The 22852-nt window shown below is 37.4% G+C and overlaps 1 long non-coding RNA gene across 1 annotated transcript in view; it reads right to left on the reverse strand.

Annotated features, from left to right (window-relative positions):
* Positions 1 to 19294, reverse strand: part of LOC107986377 (uncharacterized) — a 57078-nt gene extending 37784 nt beyond the window's left edge. The window contains exons 1-4 of the long non-coding RNA XR_001742503.2: positions 19274 to 19294; positions 13291 to 13379; positions 1293 to 1328; positions 398 to 462 (exon numbers count right to left, since the gene is read on the reverse strand). This is a non-coding gene — a long non-coding RNA (uncharacterized LOC107986377). The remainder of the gene's footprint in view (positions 1 to 397; positions 463 to 1292; positions 1329 to 13290; positions 13380 to 19273) is intronic.
* Positions 19295 to 22852: the final 3558 nt, after the last annotated feature.

Raw genomic sequence — 22852 nt, forward strand, 5'->3', positions numbered from 1 at the left:
TACATAAACAGAAAAAGTTTAAATTTTGGAGTTAAAAGATAAATATAATTTCGATTATTTTTAATGCTGAAAGACGATTATATACTGATATTACTTAAACATAACAAATAGATATTTATGTGGCTGTAGTAATTATTCAAATAGAAAATGCAGTCAATCATACTATATATAATATATAATATGTATTTTCAGTGACCATAGAAGTATTTAAATGGCAGTTCATCATCATAACCACAACTTCAATGAAATTGCCTAGAAACCTATACAGTAACCATCTCGTGCATGTTCCACATATAATCTGAGCTTTTACAACATGACTCCTATGTAACTAGTATCATAATCATAATCAAAATTATATGCTCTGGCATTAATATAGACTGAATGTTTGTGTCCTCACCTCCTGCTCTCCACCATATGTTGAAGTCTTGACCCTCAGTGTGGTAATACTTGGAGATGAGGCCTCTAAGGAAATAATTAAGATTAAATGAGGTTATAGGAGGAGATGGGGGTGAGGAGCATAAATCCAGATCCAATGGAATTAGTGTCCTTTAAAGAAGAGACATCAGAGAGCTGGCTTGTTCTATCCATGCGAAGATTGTGAAAAGGCCATATAAGGATGTAACAAGAAGGGGGACATATACAAGCTGGAAAGACAGCCCTCACAGAAATGGCACTGCAAGATCGGATTTCCAGCCTCCAAAATTGTGAGAAAATAAATTTCAATTGTTTAAGCTACCCATGATGACAACAACATGGCTCTCTTTAACAATCAAATATTAATATTAATACATGCAACAACAGTATAAAATTATGCAAAAGTTATTGAAGTTTTAAAATTTAAATGTGGAGGAGAAAAAAAAAAACATATCCAAACATCCTTAAGATACCGTCTACAGGCTCCCCACTGTAAATCACAATAAATCCATAGGAGCTGCTAATATATACTATTTAAATATACAAATGATATCTTTTCTAGTAAATAGTTCACATATTAAAATAGTTTTCTACCTTATTTGCGTATGTATATAAAACACTTATGACAAAGATTTGAAGATAATATTTGCTTGTGCTTAAGATAATTTAAGCATTGCTGTGCATATTTTATTAAATTCCTCTGCTAATGCATCTTCAGTATGATGCAAAAACTCTAGGTAACTTACATGCTTGTATATATACATGCTTGAATATGTAGTCACTTTGAAAATCCGGAAATATGAAATAATGCTTCAGGGAACTCCATGTATGTCATGAATTTGATGAATTTTAATCCAAATTTACTTTGAAATACTCACACAATATTCATGTGTCTGTGATACAGTTTTTAATGCCTACAAATAAGAAGTAGAAGAAAATTAGTTTTTTAACTAACGATATTGACAATCTTACTTTTAAGGTGATTGAGCCCTGCATACCGTGAGATTCTAACTATTCTGATAATGTAATGTGAATCTGATTATTGAATTTTATTTGCACTCTTTGAGCATTGAAAACTAATCACAGTAATCCAAGTCTGTGCTGTTTATTTTTCCCTTAAAACACAAGGAAGTCAGGATAACATAGAGTTGTCTCTGTTGCTTAGTATTTTCTCCCTTCCTCTGACCCCATTTAAAAATGTTTGTTCCTGACTTTGTAAATACTAATATTCGTTGTCTGATAACAGGATATAATTCTACAAACAGTACAAAATTAGAACAGTAATAATACCATTGTCCTCTTTTATGAGGTAATAATTTGATTCCTACTAAATGAAAATAAAGACAATCTAATAAAACTAAGAATAAATGCTCAGAAAAATAATTATATTTATTATTTCACTGTCCTTACTTAGAGAATTTCTCTTCTGAAGGGGGCTTCCTAAGAAAGAAGTCTTGATGAAGGATTTGTAAATATAATTAGTAAACATCTCCAATGACAAAAAATGGTCTTTTCAACCTTCAAAGGAATTTTACTATCTCCAAGGTTGTTAAGGTTAGTCCCAATTGTCCCTTTGTTTTATTTAGTCTCAACTATTGCCGTAACTCCAGAGAAGTAGTGCCTGATTAGCAGTAGTTAGAGAAAGGAATCAATTTACGTTATCTCCTCAGTTTAATAAGCATAACAATTCTAATCACAGCTTCTCTGCTTGTTGCTTCTCCTTAAGTTTTAGAATGTAATATAGACAATGTTTCTACGAGGTCGTAATGAGGACAGATATAGTAATTATAGCACCATATTAAATTTTTAGAAACTTTCTGGGAACTAGAGATAAAACATTGAAGGGGGAATAAAACAAAAATCTCTGCTTTTATTTTTAGGGGGTGAAAGGATAGAGATATTTATGAAAATAAATATTATTTATCATATTAAAATATAATAAATGCTATATAAAAAATAAGGCAGTGGAAAGAATAAAGATTTCTGAGAAAGAGTTTTAATTTCATATTGGTTGTCCAGTGAAGGCTTCACATTTGATAGGTGAGCACATGCAGTCTTTCCCCTCTCTGGCTTTCAACTTCTTTTTATAGATCTGTTCCTATAATACCCAAACTCCAATAACTCTTTGCTATGAACAGGAGTTCTAATCATTGAACATCAAAATATTTTTCTATTTTTCGACTTCCTATCACTTATGTGATGATTTATATTCTTTCAAAGTTTGATTTTCATGAAAACCATAAGACTCTCCTTTTATTATAATATTCTGTCAACTCCTGTGCTGCTGAGTTGCTTTTTTTTGCTCTTACTTGGAAAAGCTTTAATCCTGATTAAATTCAACTAACTTGCTATTCCTTTGCTATCATCCATTCAGCTGAAAGTGGTTGGAGAAAACACACACACACACACACACACACACACACACACACACACACACACACGAGAGAAACTGGTCTCATATTCAATTTATGACTATGTCCACAAGAGGGCTCACTTCTTTTTTTGGCTTGTAAACTAAATTTCTATCTATTTGAAGCTATGTCACACCTATCTACCCATTTGTAACTGAAAATAGTAATAAAAAGAAAACAGACAATTTGAGTGTTCTTCATTCCGTGAATATCTCAATTTTGTAAGCTCTTTTTAAAATTCACTTTCCTGTAATGTGTCTGCTCACTGTGTATTTTATAGATTGTTGATTTCCCATTAGAATGATAAATTTGGTCTCTGTTCACAGTGATTGGTATTTCATGTTAATTAATGAAGATGAGAATACTCATTTACTGAATAATATTATGATATTTAAAATGATTTTTAAAGTGTATTTGGAAACTGATATACAAGTTATACATATTTTAGATGATGGGATAAAATATTTCATAATAGCTCATAATTATAATATCTCTACATTATATCTCTGCCATTTCTAAAGTTTCATTTTATTTTATTTTTTGAGACAGAGCCTCACTCTATCATTTGGGCTGGATTGGATTACAGTGGTACAATCACAGCTCACTGCAACCTTGAACTCCTGGCCTCAAGCAATCCTCCAGTGTGGGCCTCCAAAAGTGCTTGGATTACAGGTACAAGCCACTACACCTAGCCTGTCTCTAACATTTAAATTTAAATTTAAAATATCCCTGATACTATTATTTAAACATTTGTTAGTGAAGAATGATTTCTTAAAAGTTTGAGATTAAAAAATAAGGAATGACTATATTCACTGATAAGATCTTTTTACATTTCTAAAGAAAGATTTTTTATATATATAATCAACATATTTTTATGTTTTTGAAATTATCTTACTATGGAAGTAAGAATCCAGAAGGCAGGAATATTCTTCTCATTTATAACTATGACATTATTCAATGGAAAGCATAAGGTAAATCTTTAATCTCCTTGTTAGGGAAGAGACAGTATATCAGAACAGAATACTAAATATGTAATTTTGATAGATTGAGTAGGATTAATAGCTAGTCAAGGAAACCCTGTGTGTTTGCACATTTAGCAGATCATCTGAGCTATTAGAAAGTTTCATGTAATATATCATTTACTTAACTTGTCAACTCTAAAACTTTTTCAGCGAAATCATTTAACTCTCAGTAATAATGAAGAATGAAGAAGAAAGTACAAATAGATCAGATGGTAAATTATTAACATATGCCTATGTGAAGTCAGCTTTAGGGCTACTATACATCTTTGTTATGGGGTACATGAGAGAGAACAAATTCCATGCTAATGTCTCATTCAACCTCTGTTCAGTGTAGCTCTTTTTTGATAACACACAGTTTACTTATTCTAAAAGTTGATAAAGGCTCATGCATACAATAAGAACAAAAGTGTCTTAATTGGACTATCAATTCGAGTTGGGAAAGGAGAAACCTGGTTGGGCGCTTGGATTAAAAATATTTGTGAAAGACTCTAATAGGAAGGCAAGATGAGAGGATAATGATAAATATTACTAAGATAAAATAGATAAATTGCAAATTTTCTGCCATGTGTACAATGCTTATAAGCCTTGGGGTGAGATTGGTCTGTGTTATTGGCCAGAAATGTCTAGTATATGTTTCTTCTCCTCTGTCTATTGAAGCATCCATATTTCATCAGCTCTTCTTAAACAAATTTCTACCCTTTGCTTGTTGGTTAAAAAAAAACGACAGTACAGTTTAGACTCTATGAGCATAGACCCTGATACCAGAGTGCCCGAGATAGTTTCCTCATTCTATTGTCTTGGTAAGTTCCTTAAATTTCCTTTACTTCAATTTCCTCCTTTGTAAAATGGACCTAATAAGAATTTCTACTTTATAGATTATTACAGTGATATTAAATAAGCTTCTATTTGAACACACCATAATCATTTTTGGCAAGAGGTATACTTTTTTAAAAAATCCTATTTTGTTCCTTCAAAAAAATGTAAAATAAGAAATTATTCTTTATTTTTTACTAATTTGAAAGTCTGTTACAGAGATTACAAATCCAAGCTATTTCAGGAGAGCTGGGCAGGTTCTGGGACAAGAAGTACCAACAAGGTATATTATTTTCCAGCACCAACAACCTGGTAGGAAGTCCTTAATCTGTGGCTCCATCAGAGTATTGTCTAACACTGTGCCCCACGAGCCCAGAAATTAGAAAGCATGTGATATTAGATGTGGTGCTCAGGGCTTTTTCACTACATGCTGACTTCAGTCAAGAACAAGTCAAGGTAATTTCCTCCATCTCATGGACATTTACTTCATGAGTATTGGAGACAAATAATTCCTGTAGTTAATAAGTGAGTTCATGTTCTAGCAGTCAGGGAGAATGACACACAGACCAAAACATGCAGTCACTAGTGGAATCTTCAACCTTGTTAAGTTCCAGGAGGCAGTCCTGTCCTTTTGCAGCTGAAGTCCCGTTTAATATAATCCAGACAAACTTCCAGGTTACTGGTCCACCAAGACACATATGTGCTGCAAATTGGGGATTCTAATTATTTAAAACATTTTGATTTGAATACATTAAAATGGATTTAATGAATACATTAAATGGATTCAAATCCATTTAAACAGTCAAGGAAATTGGGGTGCACTTGGTCTCTCAAGTCACCCACTTGGCCCTCTTCAAAGTGTACTTTCCTTCCTTTCTTTTCCTTATTTTCCTTACTGCTTTAAAGCTTTTTAATAAACTTTCACTCCTGGACTGAAAAAAGAAAAAAGGAAAGAAATTGAAATATTGCAGTTGCTCATAGAAAAGTACAGAGCAGGGAGACAGACCAAGATGGCTGAATAGAACCCACTGGAGATTGTACCCCAACAGAACGCCAAATTAAACAACTCTCCACCCAAGAAAGCACGTTGAGCAGAACAAAAAAACCAGGTGAGGGATCATATTACCTGATTTTAACATAATATCAAGGAAAGAGGCAATGAAGAGTGTGGGAAAGACAGTCTCTTTGCCAACATTGCTTCTCTCCTACACTGTGTCAGTGCCTGGTGGGGAGAGAATCTGTGTGCTTGGGGGAGGGAGAGTAAAGTGAGTGTGGGGCTTTGCTTTAGAACTCAGCGCTGCTCTGTCACAGCAGAACACAACCCAAGGCAAAATTCTGCCAGTACTCAGGAAAACAGCATTTAGAACAGTTCCCTTTTTTCTGAGTCCACATTTTACAGTCCCTAAGTTCCTGTGAAAGACTATAACTTTAATATCTACAGCCTTTTCTGGGTTCTAAAAACTATTCTTCCCCTTGGCCTTTCAGACGTAGCAGTGGTAACAGCTTCATAATGTTTCTCAATTTAGGTACTTTTGCACCCTGTATAGTTCTCCTTAACCCTGTCAGTACCTTTAAAACACTCTGCTTATTAAGCCTGGTGGCAGCATGACCTTCTTACTTTGATGGCCCTATACATGATAAAACCTGTGTGCTATATACCCCATTATATTTTTAATTATATTTAAGATGAAAATATTAAAAATTATATAAATATTTATATATGCTTCACTCATAATGTAGATCTAAATCTACATTCAAAAACACAACAATAAATAAAGTTGGAAGTTATCTACAGAGTAAATGGACAATAGAGTGGGTGGGAGCAGAAGTATTTGGACAATTCCAACATATACTTTGTATTTTCATTTGATGCTTAAAATATATAAAATAACTACCTGTACAAAATAAACTAAATAAAATTAGCACAATTATTAATGGCATTAAGATGTTTTAATTTCAAAGGTGAACCTCATTTTTTGTCCTAAATAATGAAACTATTATTAGTTTACTAAATTAATCTATAGTTTTTGTCGATCATGTTTCCTACTTTTCATTCTGTCACATTTTGAGAAACCAAGGCCTTCCTCTTTCTTACCTTATCACTAGGCAGAGATTTTAATATGATTTCAAGACAAAAAGGAGACTAAGGATGGGAGAAATTTCAGTGCAGCAATATATGGATAGAGGAAATGGTTTGATGTTTTCCTATTTTGACTTAATTTTGGTTCTATTTTCATTTTACAAAGGATGCATGATTTCCCAAGGCTCAAGAGAACTGCCTGGTATAAACATTTGCAAACACTAGTCTCATTATCTAGGCTTTACGGGAGACAGATGAAAGGTGATCTGAGTATAATGTATTGTCTCTGCTCAGGGGCTCAGGGTAAGATCACTGGGAGGAATCTGGGTCCTGCCAGGCTGCATGTAGGTGCTGGAAACAAAGAAAATAATGTTTACTGACAGTGATTCTGAGATGCAATGATCCAGCCATCTATGCTTATGAGACACAATTGCTGTTACTTATGTGATCAATATAGGAAACATTCAATTTTACACACCCTAACATCATACAGTAAATATTTAATTTAGGAAGCAAGTTTCTGGGTATTGTCTACTGTCTTTTGTAACAGATAGGGAAAGTGTCAATTTGTAAAAACTCTTTACCCCATTGATTAGGAATTTATTATATAGGAATAAGTTTTCTATTTTATTTAGAATTCTTAATGGTGCAAATAAGGATGCTTCAGTCTTTCATCCTCAATAAAAAAACATCACTGAACTTCATGAAAGCAAAGGCCTCATCTCCCATGATTTTTAAAAATTATTTTTGAACTCAAGATAAGTATATACTTATAGGGAATAAGTTGAGTTTTAAAAATATGCTGCTTCTTCTTAATACTCTTCTCATGTTATTATTGTCATCTAAATATTTCCTATAATTTGTATATCTTAATCCCAAGAGTCCCAGCAAGACATATTACTTTCCCTAAGCGGCATCTCCAGGAGTAGTGTGTGGATTGTGGTGGGTCCACAGAGCCAATAGCCAGAGCGGTCAATCAATATACAAAGACATAAGTGGCAAATTTTCAGAGCCACCACAAATTGATTTTACTGTGTTTCCTCAGTCAGTATTACATTCTCTAATGATATAGCCTTCTTATAGGTTTTAGTATGCCACATAAAATAGTATCTCACAGTGTTTTACTCCATCCAAGGATATAAAATACTGTCGTTGAGAAGGCTTATTAAAGTAGCCATCATGCCAACTCCAAAATGTATGCTTATTCATCTGACATAAACCATATCTACAGAACACGAAACCTTGCACAGTTGTTTCTAAATCATTGTAGAAGTGAAACAAATAAATCAGCCCAGAAAATTCCAAGGCTAGCAGTTTGTTTTCTCCCTCTTTATTTTCCCTACACATCTTAGATATTTCAGATTGGAAAATATAATTCAATCAAATTGTTAAAAGGTTAATATGTTTATTACTATTACTCTAATCATGAATCTTTAGTAGTCATCAGAAACATTTCATATTTTTATTCATCAAATCTCAGGTTTAAAGTGAGTTGGGTTGTTCCTTTTTTACATTATTTTCCTTAAAAGGATCGTATCAAAAATCAGTATGTTACACTGCAATTATCTTATTTGACTAAAGCACTGTTAAAAGATATGAATAATTATTTTAAGAATATTAATCAAAATATTTGTATTGAAGATATCAAAGGGAAATGTTCCACAATTGAAAGCAAAGTATGGGGAAAATTATCTCGCATATGGCTGAATATTATTGCTTATTTGTCCTACATATTTAAAACTAGAAGGACATATTATGCAATTCCAGCAGGCAATTGAGTCAGACTACCTAGATTTAGATGTAAAATTTACAAATTTCTAGTTTAGTGACCATGAGTAAGGCATCCCTCTGGACCTTAGTTTTCTTATTTGCAAAATAGGTGATGTAATATAAACCACCACATAAACTCATTGAGGAGACCAGTTAGCATGCATACCATTTTATAGAGCCCTGCCACTGTTTTGTTTTTGGCTTAAAAAATTGTTAGTTTAATATTTGATATACAACGCTATTTTTGTGTCACACAGAATATGTGAATGATTAACCTCATGGAATAACAATTTATAACACTGCCATTCTGCCAATGGTGGATAATTACAACGAAAGTTCATCCATTGTTCCAGAACAAATTATTGCAGTGTATGATATTTAAGAATAAGTAGAAAGAGTGAAATCATTATCTCTAATGTTGTTTTTAAAACTTCCAAGATTTTGATAACACTGTGAATCTGAGAATAACTGGCAAGTAGAATACATTAAACCTATAACAAGGGTTCTTAGTGGAGTTGTGGAAATAACTATTCTATTATAGGCTTTGCTGATCCTATAGGAGAACAAATAGCCAACATTTAAAGGTTCCATAGAGAGAACAATCTAGCACTTTGGCCCACCTGGATATATTTCTTCCTATGAAGCTACACATATTATTAATACTAGCATACAGAAATGGGCAAAGAAACATAGTATTACATGAATATAGTATATTCCCATCACCCTCAATGCAGTGATCTTATGGAAAGTTTGAATAAACAATTAAGTCATGTGTTCTTTAATTCAGGAGGTGAGAAAGGCTTGAAAGCTGCAGTACAAATGTGTTCTCCTGTTGCAGGTGAAAGAAGAAAAGAAAGAACACTACTGGAAAGCTTTTGGAATTTCTACATAGGTATACGTGATGACATTAATAGAATTATGCAACTTTATTACCTCCCATATTTCTTGAAAACTTTTATTTTGTTTTGACTGAGTTGATGTTTAAGCATTGTGGCTACACTCAGCCAGTAGGAGAAGTCACTGCAAAAGACATGAATCTATACCATTGAATTTGGCTTGTGCGTTCTTAAAAGAACCTTGGGGTCACTTATAACGTGTTCCCTTGCAGTTAAAATAGCGTTAGTTGTGACTACATTAGCAAACGGAAGGACAGTTGTGCAATTTTTACCTGTCAAATCCTATGATACTTTCCAGGGGATGAAGCAGAGGAGAGATCATACCGATGTTGTTACGGTTTGCTGAGTAAGTAATACTGCCAAAGCAGGCTATTTCGTCAGGGCGAGTTAAATGAGGTAATAAATGGAAACTGATGGAGCTTATGACAAATGTGAAGAAGACACACAAGATTTTCTCAAAGAAATACAGTCATTCTTGTCTGAGTTCATTTATGCTGCTATAACAAAATGTACCATAAACTGGGTGGCTTACAAACAATAGAAATTTATTTCTCACAGTTCTGGAGACTGGGAAAACCATGACCACGGCACTGGCAGATTCAATATCTGGTGAGGGCCCATTTTCTGGTTTATAAATGACATTTTTATGTTGTGTTCCCACATGTTGAAAGGGGCAACGTGGCTTTCTGGAGCCCCTTTAAGAGCACTCATCTCATTCTTGAGGGCTCCAGCCTCATGAGCTAATTACCTCTCAATGGCCTCACCTTCTAATGGCATCATATTGGTAATTAGGTTTCAACAGATAAATTTAGGAGAGGCAGGAACACTCAGACCCCAGCAATACTCTAAACAACTTCTCTCAGGCTTGGTGCAGACAATGGGTGATGTAAAGCGAAGCTGCCTAAATTACTTCTTTTTCCAGTAAAAGAAAATAGGTCTCCTGCATACTTAAAGTGTCTACCTAAAGACTTCACCTGAATGATCTGGATTTAAGGATTTAAGGTGTGATGGGGCACACTCTAACATAATCGTTGACTGGTTGGAGCTACCATTTGGCTCATGATATTAGGATTATATTAATTGTTGTTGTTGTATTTTTTTCAGGTACCTGGAGAAAAAAATATTACCTTTAAATCATACATGGCAAAGGCTACTGAGCAGCTGAGTATATGCACACGATGTCACTATGAATTAAGTGACACATTGCTAAGACAGATATGTGCAGGGGATGAGAAGCAAATTTTTGCCACCTGCCCAGTTTGTCATAGCTTCAATCTTTCAACTTTGTCAAATCTGAAGGTGAATGAAATGTCTTAAAGAGAGGATAAGACCTGAATAGCCTTGAAGAAAGTGGGCGCAGAAATGGCCCAAATCACTGGTAATTATCCTCATATGGGCCACTCATGGGGAGTCCTATGCAGCAACCAGATTGAGCTGTCTTCGTAAAAGAATGGGCTCTGTTGAAATTTTCATGACGCATCCAATGTTTGGGTGTTCTTCTTGTGCATAAAACTGTACTCATGACAATTAGAGGAACATTGGGTTTAATCAACACTGGCCCCAACCAAAACAGATGAGTCTTGGAAAATTTAGAAACTATATTTGGATTACTGAGTCATCTGAAAGTGTCCTTCCAAGACGAAAAAGATTTGCTAACTATATAGGAACACTAGAGGGAGCCCACTTCCAAGAGACTTCATGTGGCTGGCAGTTGATAAAGGTTATGAAGTGATTCATGAGTGGACAAGACATGTTTTCAAACCAATAAGGCATCACATTCATCAACCACGCTGGTGGAGGCCTTTACTCTCACTCAGGAAGGAGTGCTAAAAATGTACATTACTATAGAATCTGAGAAAGTGATGAAGAGTTCTAGGGGACTAGTTTGGTATAGGAGGAGGCAGTCATTTACAAAAATTCTATGGTAAGCCTAAGCTATGGAGAAAAAATTAAAAAAAAAAAAAAGGCTGTCGGAGAATGTGGCTTTCACTGAAATATCTAAGAGTTTATGTCCCATGGAAAAAAATGTCTTTCTGTAGGGGGCAGATGTGTGGTTCATAATGATACCTAAAAGTCTGTTTTTATATAAACCTGTAATATAATTATGTCAACAAACGACGTGGAATCTAAAATTAATTGAACAGTGGTTTCTTGTCATCAGTCTAGTCACTAAAACTGTATATCGCATGAAAATCGTTCATTTGCTTCTTGGAAATAAATACAAAGATAAATCTGTAATTTTACTAGATGCGTAATGTGTCAAACATTATTTTAGTCACTATGCTATGGTTATACACAGTAAAAAAGTGCATGTAAATACATTGATAAAATTAAATTGAAATCAAACTTCTTTGCATGGTGATCAATTATTTTGGGAGACTAATTTGAATCACCTATCTCATGTGATAACTAACACACTTAATTGTCTGAAAAAGCAGAGCAGTTGGCCTTAGAAAAAGCCAGCACCTCTATTTAAGTGTAGTAATAAAAATATTCAAACCATTGGTGAATATGGGAGAAATAATCTAGCCAATAGTGCAGCCCTGATTTATACCTGGTTCATAGCCTGCCTTTCCGAGTCACATCTCAATGCCTGATTTGTTTACTAGTGTCTCTCTTATTTGGTATGCCCTTTCTTCAGTGGTCTCTTTCCACACAACCTTAGTCACAATGGACACACACATACACACACATACGCCACATCAAACACACAAGTAAACATTTATTTATCCCGTAAATCTGCTGCTCAGTAATTTAGGCTGGGCCTCATCTGGTGATTTTGCCTATCTTGTTTTACCCTACCCAGATCAGATATCTGATAGTCAACTGGTTGTGAGCTGAGACAACTCAGGGTTACTGGATTCGGTTCTACCTATCGTTCCTTTTCTAGTAGTCTAGCCTGGGTTTGTGTTTATAAAATGGTAGTGATGCAAGACCAGGAAAAGTCTAATCACTCAAATGATCCCCAAGCCTCTGCCTTCAACGTGTTTGTGAACAACATGCCCAAGTCAGATCCATGTGTGAGAGCACTGCCTGAGTACTTGGAATAGGAGAAAAATATAAACAGTGTTATAGACTGAATTGCATTTCCCAAAATTTATATATTGAAATCCTAACCTCTAGTACCTCATATTACTATATTTAGAGATAGCGTTTTTAAAGAGGTAATAAAAGTTAAATGAAATCTTTGGGGTAGGCCCTAATACAATATAACTGTATCCTTAGAAGAGGAGGTTAGGACACACACATACACACAGAGAAGAATGACCATGTGGAGACAAAGGGCGAAGACAGCCGTATATAAGCCAAAGACAAAGGTTTCAGAATAAAACCAAACCTGCCTACACCTTGATTTCAGATTTCTCACCCACAGAACTGTGAGAAAAATTTTAAACTTTTGTCATTTAAGTCATGCAGGGTCTGGTATATTATCACGGAAGCCCTAGCAAACTAATATAGGGAGAAATAAAAAATGCTATCACAATATGGTGAGTCCCAGGATAAGGGCCCCAACATTCTTACACAATCATTTTATCAAGCTTAAATTACAGGACTTTATGAGTCACATCAGGTCTAGATGTAGTTCCCTTAAAAGGCTGATCTGTAAAGCGAAGTGCTATGGTTTTAATATTCATCCCCTCCAAAACTTCTGTTGAAAATGTAATCTCTAATATGGCAGTATTGAGAGGTGGGCCTTTAAGAGATGGTTGGGTCATGAGAGCCCTGTGCTCATAAATTGATTAATTCATTCGTGAATTAACAGATTAATGGAATATTGGGTTAACACATTGAACAGTTATCATGGGAGTGATGCTGGTGGCTTTATAAGAGGAAGAGCGAACTGAGCCAACACATTTAGTCCTCTCACTATGTGATGCCCTTACCCAACTCAAGACTCTGCAGAGGATCCCAACCAGCAAGAAGGCTCTCATCAGATGCAGCTCCTCAACCTTGGACTTCTTAGACTCCACACCTGTAAGAAATACCTTTCTTATTAAATAAATAACCCAGTGTCAGGTATTCTGTTACAAACAACAGAAAATGAACTAAGATATTAAACTAAAAGATATCTTCCTCACACACACCCAAATGTAGTCTTGCAACAGAAACAGAATAACACCAAAAAGAATCTGCATTCAAAAAGATGGAAAAAGTGAGGCAGCTGTTCCGAAAAGAGCTCAGGGAGACTCTGTTCAAATCATGCACATTCCCCGGGTTTTAAGATTGGCTCTTTGCCCAACACCTGGCAGATGACCCCTAAGTCCCTGGAGTATCTTGCCTGGTATGTGTGTCTTCATACACTTGAGTTTTTGGGCCATGACAGATGGTTTACACTAATAATGTTATTTATGGTAAATGTCCGCAGTTTTGGGACTTAGCTGAGCTCAGTCACGTGAGCACTGCATGCCTTTGTGAATAATCCCCAATGAAAACGGTAGGCGCCAATGTTCGGGTGGGCTTCCCTGGTAGGCAATACTGTGCATGCGTTGTCACACACTGTTTCTGTGGGATATAAGCACTGTTCATACAAATCCACTGGGAGAGGACAGTTGGAAGTCCATGTCTGCTTTCTGCTGGACTCCATCCACCCTGTGTACCTTGTTATTCCTTGCTGATTTTAATCTGTTTTCTTTTGCTGTAAGTAAACTGCAACTGTATTAACACTTTTCTGATGTCTGTGATGTTTTCAAGTGAATTAGCAAGCCTAAGTGTGGTCTGGGGAACCCCTGAGAACAAAACAAATGATAAATTTTAAGATGAGGGCTCAAAATTGACAGTTATTTACACCTATATTCTATGAACAAAAGAAAGTTATAATATGTATTAGTTGTAATCATTCTTTCACTTGAAGCCAAATCATTTCAATCTCTGCTTCTGTGGCCACATCCTATCTTGTTTTATGTTGTTTTGTTTTGTTTTTCAGACAAGGTCTTGCTTGGTTGCCCAGACTGGACTTGGAGTGCAGTGGTGTGATCTGGGCTCACTGCACTGCAACCTTCGCTTTCCAGGCTCAAGGAATCCTCCCACTTTAGCCTCTTGAGTAGGTGGGACTACAGGTGTGTGCCACTATGCCCAGCTAATTTTTATTCATTTATTTATTTATTTATTGTAGATATAGGGTTTCACCATGCTGACCAAGCTGGTCTTGAACTCCTGGACTCAAGCTATCTGCCAACCTTTGCCTCCCAAAGTGCTGGGATTACAGATGTGACATCCTGGACCTGGCCCTTTCTCTCAAAATTACTTCTACCTCTCTCTTATAAGGATACATGTGCATTTAGGGTCCAAAGAATAATCTAGAATAAGCATTTTCTCTAAAGATTCTTAAGTGAATACAGTCATGCCTCCCTTAATGACAGGGATATGTTCTGAGAAATGCATCTTTCAGCATTTTCACTGGTGTACAAACATAGAGTACTTACACAAGCCAAGATGGTATAGCTCACAACAAACCTAGGCTACACAGTACAGCCTACTGCGCCGAGGCTACAAATCTACACAGCATTTTACTATACTGAATACTGGAGACAATTGTAACACAATGGTAATTTATTTATTTTTATTTATTTATTTTTAAGATGACAGTCTTGCTCTGTTGCCCAGGCTGGAGTGCAGTGGCATCATCTCGGCTCACTGCATCCTCCATCTCCTGGGTTCAAGTGATTCTCCTGCCTTAGCTTCCCAAGTAGCTAGGATTGCAGTCGTGCACCAGCATGCCCAGCTAATTTTTGTATTTTTAGTAGAGACGAATTTCATCATGTTAGCCAGGCTGATCTCGAACTCCTGACCTCAGGTGATCCACCCACCATGGCCTCCCAAATTGCTGGTATTACAGGCGTGAGTTACCATGCCTGGCCCCTAAATATATTTAAACATAGAACATGCAGAGTAAAAATACGGTGTGAAAGACAAAATGTGGTCCACCTGTACAGGACATTTAACATGAATGGAGCTTTTAGTACTGCAAGTTGCTGTGGGTGAGTCAGCAAGTGGGTGCTGAGTGAATGTGAAGGTCTAGGATATTACTGTACACTACCGTAGACTTTATAAACACTGTACACTACCGTAGACTTTATAAACACTGTACACTTAAGCACTACTAAATTTATTTAAAAATATTTACTTTCCTCTATAATTAAACTTAGCTTACTGAAAGTTTTTATGTTATAAACTTATTTTTTTTACTTTTGACTCGTACTCTTATAACATCCAAAAACACAAACACATTGTACAGCTGTACAAAAATATTTTTCTTTATATCCTTATTCTATAAGCTTTTTCCAGTTTTTAAATTTATTTTATTTATTATCAATTTATTTTTAAACTTCTTTGTTAAAAATAAGACACAACCATGCAGATTCACCTAGGCCTACACATGGCTAGCATCATCAACATCAGTTTATTCTACCTCCACATCCTGTCCCCCTGGAAGGCCATCAGAGGCAATAACACTCAAGGAGCTGTCATCTCCTGTGATAACAATGCCTCCTGACGGACCTGCCTGAAGCTGTTTTACAGTTAACCTTTTTTTTCTTTAATAATAAGAAAGCATACACTCTGAAATATAGTACGTTAAATATTAGGTGACGGGAATTTTTCAGTGTCATTATAATCTTATAGGACCACAGTCATACCGTGTATGCAGTCCAAATTGTGACAAGAAACATGACTGTAAGATACTTTTCCAAATAAGGTAATATTCACAGGTGTCTGGGATTGGGACATTTTTGGGGCCATCATCCATTCCACATAAGGCAATGGCCAAAGTCAAATGGTGGGCAACAGACTCCATCCATTGTAAGGATATGGCCACAGTGTAAGTTTACAACACAACAAGGGGCTACTAAAAAGTTGGGACCAAAAAAAAAAAAAGAATTGCCATCTTTTACATAATGAGTCATGGTATGCAAATTTTACATTTCCCTAATACCAAAACGTCCCCAAATCTCATTCAACTGTTCGTGTCAGGCTTAAAGCCTAGGTTCTCATGATCTATAGAAAAGTTATCCCGTTTTTAAAAATATTTTAAGATATTTTTAAAATTTTTGTGGGTACACAGTGGGTGTATATATTTATGGAGTACATGAAATATTTTGACACAGGCATGAAATGCATACTAAGCATATCATGGAGAAGGGGGTAACCATTCTCTCAAGTATTTATCTTTTGGGTTACAAACAATCCAATTACACTCTTTAAATTATTTTAAAATGTACAGTTATTATTGACCACAGTCACCCTGTTGTGCCATCAAATAGTAGATCTTATTTATTCTTTCTACTTCTTGTACCTATTAGCCATCCCCACCTTTTCCTCCACTCCCTCACTACCCTCCCCAGCCTCTGGTAACCATCCTTCTACTCTCTACGTCCATGAGTTCAATTGTTTTGATTTTCAGGTCCCTCAAATAAGTGAGAACATGTGATGTTTGTCTTTCTGTGCCTGGCTTATTTCACTTAACATAATGATCGCCAGTCTCATCCATGTTGTTGCAAATAGCAGGATCTCATTCATTTTTTGTGGCTGAATAGTACCCCACTGTGTATATGTACCACATCTTCTTTATCCATACACTAATTACAATTATGGAATCTTAGCATAAACTAAATACACTCTCATTTTAAAAGGGAAAACAAAGAGGAGGTGCATATCATACTCTGTGAATATTGTGAAATCTTGCTGAGAAAATGTTATTAGGTTCTGGGAATTTTCCTTGACTTAATTCTGCTTTTGATCCCTGGGAAGGGCTTCTCCAACCATTTTTCTTTATAGTTTGAATTTTCTTTCTGGGGAGATTTCCTTCCCTATGATATGCTGGTTATTCAAAGAGATCACTGAAAAATATGCCCTTCAATCAACATTTTCAAAATATTTTCTTCTTACAGAATGTTGGGGGGCAGGGCAGAGATATTTATCACTTTTTACATTTCCCATCAACTTTACTCAGACTGGCAATTCTTTTGTAAATACAACTTTCTCAAATATTCATTAGCTTCCTTGATTTTTGATTCAAGTTTACTCTGTAGCAAAAGCCAGAAGCAAAATTTATGTCCCAACTTCCCTCTCCGTCTAGGCTTGTTTACTCCAACTATGGGTGTGCCATGGCTGCTAGGAGACCTAAAGCCTATTTATCCAGCAGAAACTAACTTCTGGGGAAAACCTGAATTATTTTAGAATTTTTAGTAAATATTTTCATAGTAACAATGTTGATTTGGTCTTACCCTTTAGGTTATGTCTTAATGTGAAAATATTTAACCGACATGAGAGTCTGAACATAGAAAAAGTTTTATTTTCCAAACTAGCAAATTCTGGTCCCTGCATATTAATCTCTAAATTCTACTTTGAAGCTTTTCCGTTCTTTTCTCAGTTAATTTCTGAGTTAATATCTTTCTTGTAGTACCACAATATCTCATATAATCAATATGCTGCCTGGAAGACTCTGTTTAAGTCTAAAAGCTCATTTATACATTTTCTACCTTCTAATTTACTGCAGGTGAAGAGCTGTACTAAATAATTTGCTACAGAAAAACACGGATTGCCCTTTCCCCAGCCTATTTTCCTTTTTGCTGTGTTATCCCAACCTTCTCTAATTATTTTCTTGTCATTTACTAACTTCTTTTAATAGTGTCCCCATCCCCAGGACCTGGCACAAAATTACTGCTACATACTTTAAGGTTGTCTTATGGTGGCATACCTCTCTGGGCATTAAAAAATGGATTAATCTGGGGTTTTATCATTTATAAAAAGTCATTATCTGAAATTTTGAAAACCTGAGAATACTGTATTAGTCTCTTTTCATGCTGCTAATAAAGACATACTTAAGACTGGGTAATTTAGAAAGAAAAGAGGTTTTAATTGACTCACAGTTCCACATGGCTGGGGAGGCCTCACAATCACATTAGAAGGCAAATGAGGAGCAAAGTTACGTCTTAATGGCAGCTGTCAAAAAAGGGAACTTGTGTAGGAAATCTCCCCTTTATAAAAGCACTGGATCTCCTGAGACTCATTCATTTTCATGAGAACAGCAGAGGAAATACCCACCCCCGTGATTCAATTACGTCCCATCAGGTCCCTCCCATGACACATGGGGATTATGGGAGCTACAATTCAAGAAGAAATTTGGGTGGGGATATTGTCAAATCATATCAAATACCATAGCAGCTAACATACACAAATGTGAGGGGAGCTACAGAGTGAAGTTCTGGAAAAAGAAAGTTGTAGTATCAGAGAGCTATTGACCATTCCAAACTAAAGCATTGGCACAAAGATACGGACTGTGTGCAGTTGCTATAATCAAGTTATCTTCTTTTCAGCTGCAAACTTTGAAATTGGTGCTTCCCTTGAAGGGCAGTTGTTTATATTACAAAGATATATCAGTTTATACAGATCAATTAAGACTTCAGTAGATTGCCTATCTATTTGTTTTCTAGAGACAACATGATTGACTAGCCAATGTCATATGTCTCTGAGAGTCAGACTATTTTGATTACTGCTTTGGAACTACTGTTCGTATTCACCAAATCTTTGACAATTAAAATTAACTCAGCTCCTGCTCTTGATGGCTGTTGTGAAACCTTGATTCTTGTTTTCTTAGTTTAAAAGAATTTAAACAAGAGACATACAACAAAGGAGATACAGCATAGAGTAATTTATTGCCAGGAGAAAGAATACTCTAAAAGTTAGGTGAAGAATAGACAGTACACACTGAGAGAGGATTCAGGATGGGCTGCTTATAAGGATGAGACCACAAAACTGACACTAGGAAAACTCCCTTTATGGGCGCTGTATTAGTCCATTTTCATACTGTTATAAAGAAATACCCAAGACTGGGTAATTTATAAGGAAAAAGAGGTTTAATGGACTCACAGTTCCACATGGCTGGGGAGGCCTCACAATCATAGCAAAAAGCAAAGGAGGAGCAAAGGCACGTCTTACATGATGGCAGGGAAGAGAGCATGTCCAGGAGAACTGCCCTTTGTAAAACCATCAGACCTTGTGATACTTATTCACGCTCAGGAGGACAGCACAAGAAAAACCCACCACTCTGATTTATTTACCTCTCACTGTGTTCCTCCCAGGACATGTGGGAATTATGGAAGTTACAATTTTAGATGAGATTTGGGAGGGGACACAGCCAAACCATATCAGAAGCCTTACATAATTATTCATAAGTGAATGTGAAGAAGTGTTACTAGTAAGCATGTTATTATGGGTGGTCCTCTGGGTGCACATGTGCAGTAGCTGTACATGCTTTTTCATACATTGGATATCTCATTAGAATGTTAAATCTCCACCCAGGGGTGTGTTTTTTACTATTATAATGAGTAAAAGATCAGTCCAAGGTCAGGTAAAATCAAAATGCACATGCTCTCTACAGGGAAAATTTCCTACTGAAGATAGCTTTGCTTGAATGATCTTGACTACAATGTGAATGCTGGGGCTTATTTTGCTGATTCTATGGTCACCATGGTTGTTGCATCCAGAGGATGTGGTTGCTTCTTTGACCACATATCCTGCTTCAGTGTCACTCTGTAATTTTATTATCACAATTGCATTTAAGGATTCTAGTTTAATGTTAATAGTTCCCACTATAATTTCTGTCATACAGAGAAGAGTAAACACAGAGCACATTAAGGACACTGGGGTGCCTATCAAAAATTTATAACTTGCAGTCATGGTGAAAGACGATTCTTCTGGACCCTCTTAGGGTGGGTGAACAGGTCTTTCAGACTAAATCCAATTTAGCATCCCCTGTCTGTAAGCCTTTGATACCTTCCTCTATCCAGCCAGTATGGGAATTTTAACTTTATTTAGTATAGGCCACCTTTGAGTCTATGTGTCAGTCAATAAACAAAACAATTAGAGGCTTTTATAACACCTTCTGCTAAATTATTGATTCCAAAATCTCTGTTTAGTAAGTTGATATCAGTTTCAGGGTTGTAGCCAAGATGGCTGACTATAAGCAGCTACTGTGCATGGTTCTCACAGAGAGGAACAGAAGGGGTGAATAAACCTTCAACTAAAGCATTCAGGTACCAGCCTTGGGACCAATCAAACAAACAACTTGATCCATGGAGAACAGAGCCAAAGGAAACTCCCCCACCCAGGGAAGTGGTGAGTGAATGTGCAATCCCAGGAAACCATGCTTTACCCACAGATCTTTCCAACCCTTGGGTCAGGAGATCCCCTTTTAAACCTACCCCACCAGAACCTTCAGTCTGACTCACAAAACTATGTGGAGTCTCCACAGGGCAGCCACTTGGGCACATGTGGAGGTCCAGAAGCTTTAGATACTCTGGGTTTTTGGACTTCCTGGCAAAAGTAGCTGCAACTTTAGACCCCCTCTACGTACCCAAAGGAAAGAGGCTGAATCCAGGGGGCAAAATAGCAATTGTCTGCAGGCCCCATTTCCATGACACATCACAGGGTAAGACCCTTTGGCATGGAGTTCCAGCCAGCCACTGATAGTAGTGTTGTGATCTGAGATGGAGCTCCTAGGGCTAGGGACAGGCTGCCATCTTTGCTGCTTGGGCAAATTAGCTCTTCCAGCCTTCAGGCTTTAGAGAGTCCAAGCAGACTGGGGGTGGAAGCAGTATTCCAACACATCACAGCAGCCCTACTTGGCCAGACTACTTTTTAAGCAGGTCCCCAATCCCATTCCTCCTAACTGGGTGAGACCTCCCAACCGGGGTCTCCAGCTACCTCATACAGGCTCATTCAGGCTGGCAACAGGTCTGTACCTGCTGGGGATGGAGCTCCCAGAGGAGGTGGTAGGTTTCCATCTTTGCTGTTTTGCAGCCTTCAGTGGTAATACCTCCAGCGAAGGTAATACTTCCACTCGGAAATCTGGGGTGACTAGGGACTGTAGCAAGCCTCAAGCATACTGCAGCTGACCTACAGAAAACTGACCAGATTGTAACATGGGTGCCTGGTTCTGTATCTTTTCACCAGGCAGATTGTAACATGGGTGCCTTGTTCCCTATCTTTTCACCAGGCAGTTTCTCCAGGCCTGTGCGTCTAGCCATTCCTCATCAGTGCTATTGAGATAGTAGCAACTTGGCAACTCACCGGACATAGCCTCCAGGGGCAACTGAACTGTCCCTGCTACCCTTGGACTAATGAAGGAGCCGATACTCTAAGTACCATATCCACACCCCCAAAAAGCTGCAGTTGACCCAAGGTGAGGAGGCCAGTCCATCTCCCAGGAGTCCCACACTTCCACTACTGCTCATCACAAGAAAGGGAATCCATGGCTTGAGCCCAAAGCAAACACCCACCATCCTGGGTGGATTGCATTGAGCAATTGCTGACCCACATCTCTCTTGGATGGAGCCCACAGGAGATAAGCAAACTAGTGAAGCAGCAAGCCAGCTGATGTGGAGCCCAGAGGTTTTGATGTGGGACTTTCTGTAGTGGAGCATGATCAAGGATGGCCATCTCTGTAGCCTCAACTCACTCCCATAAGAGACTTTAGTCCTAGGGGAACTGTCAGACCTGATCTTTGCAGGTGATCTTGCACATCAGATGGGGATGGTCCAACCTGAGTATTCCTTGGTCTGCTGGCCTCTCCTGGAGCCCCAACCTGGCCATGCCTGCTTACAGGGAAGTCTCAGGTGCCCTGGGGACCCAACACCATAGCTTCTGCAGTGGTGGAACAAGCCTGACTAGTGAAGAACTCCAGCAAGGCAGCCCCTATGGCCATGTACCACCCTGCAGGTTCCCTCACCCTACTGCAGCTTCCCTGGAGCCCACAGCAACTTCCCACATCACTTTGCTGGTATGTGTCTGCATGAGCAGGTTTTGGTTTACTTTCCCTGCCAGCACACAGGAGTGCAGTAACTCCCTACCTTCATTGACCACCATTGCAGATGGATTATTGACAGGCACAGAGCCAGAAAGCCCTGCACCCACCACTGACCCACCTTTATACTAATGCTGCATAAAGAACAGAGGCCCTTCCACACCCTGAGCAATCACTTCTGTTTGTGGGGCACCAAGAAGGCACCCAGACTCGCACTGGCCAGTATTCTGCCCCAAACCAACACCATCTTCAGTTCAACAGCACACACAGTTCCCAGAAATGGCCCTCTGCTTCTCCTTCAGCTGCCTTGCCTCTACCACTGTGTCGAATGCCCATAGGGAGGCAGGCAGCCCTGCATCAGCTAGCACTCTGCTGCAGCTGCCACCTTGGTCCTCCCAGCACAGTAGACTCCAAACTTCAAAAAGGCAGAGAACAAAGTCAAAACTCAATACAAGTCCCGCAGATTTTGAGCATGCAGTCCAGGAGTTGGGAACTGAATGTAATGCTGGCCCATTAAAATCTTCCAGAAATAAAGCCAGTAGGCTAAATCCAGCTTGTACCACAATCAAACCCCAAAGTCATGAAGTAGAATTTTTAAAAAATCCAAAGGACAGCAACCTCAAAGATTGAAGATAGATAACTCC

This window comes from Homo sapiens, chromosome 5 (assembly GCF_000001405.40).
Source record: "Homo sapiens chromosome 5, GRCh38.p14 Primary Assembly".
In the NCBI taxonomy this organism is placed as follows: domain Eukaryota; kingdom Metazoa; phylum Chordata; class Mammalia; order Primates; family Hominidae; genus Homo; species Homo sapiens.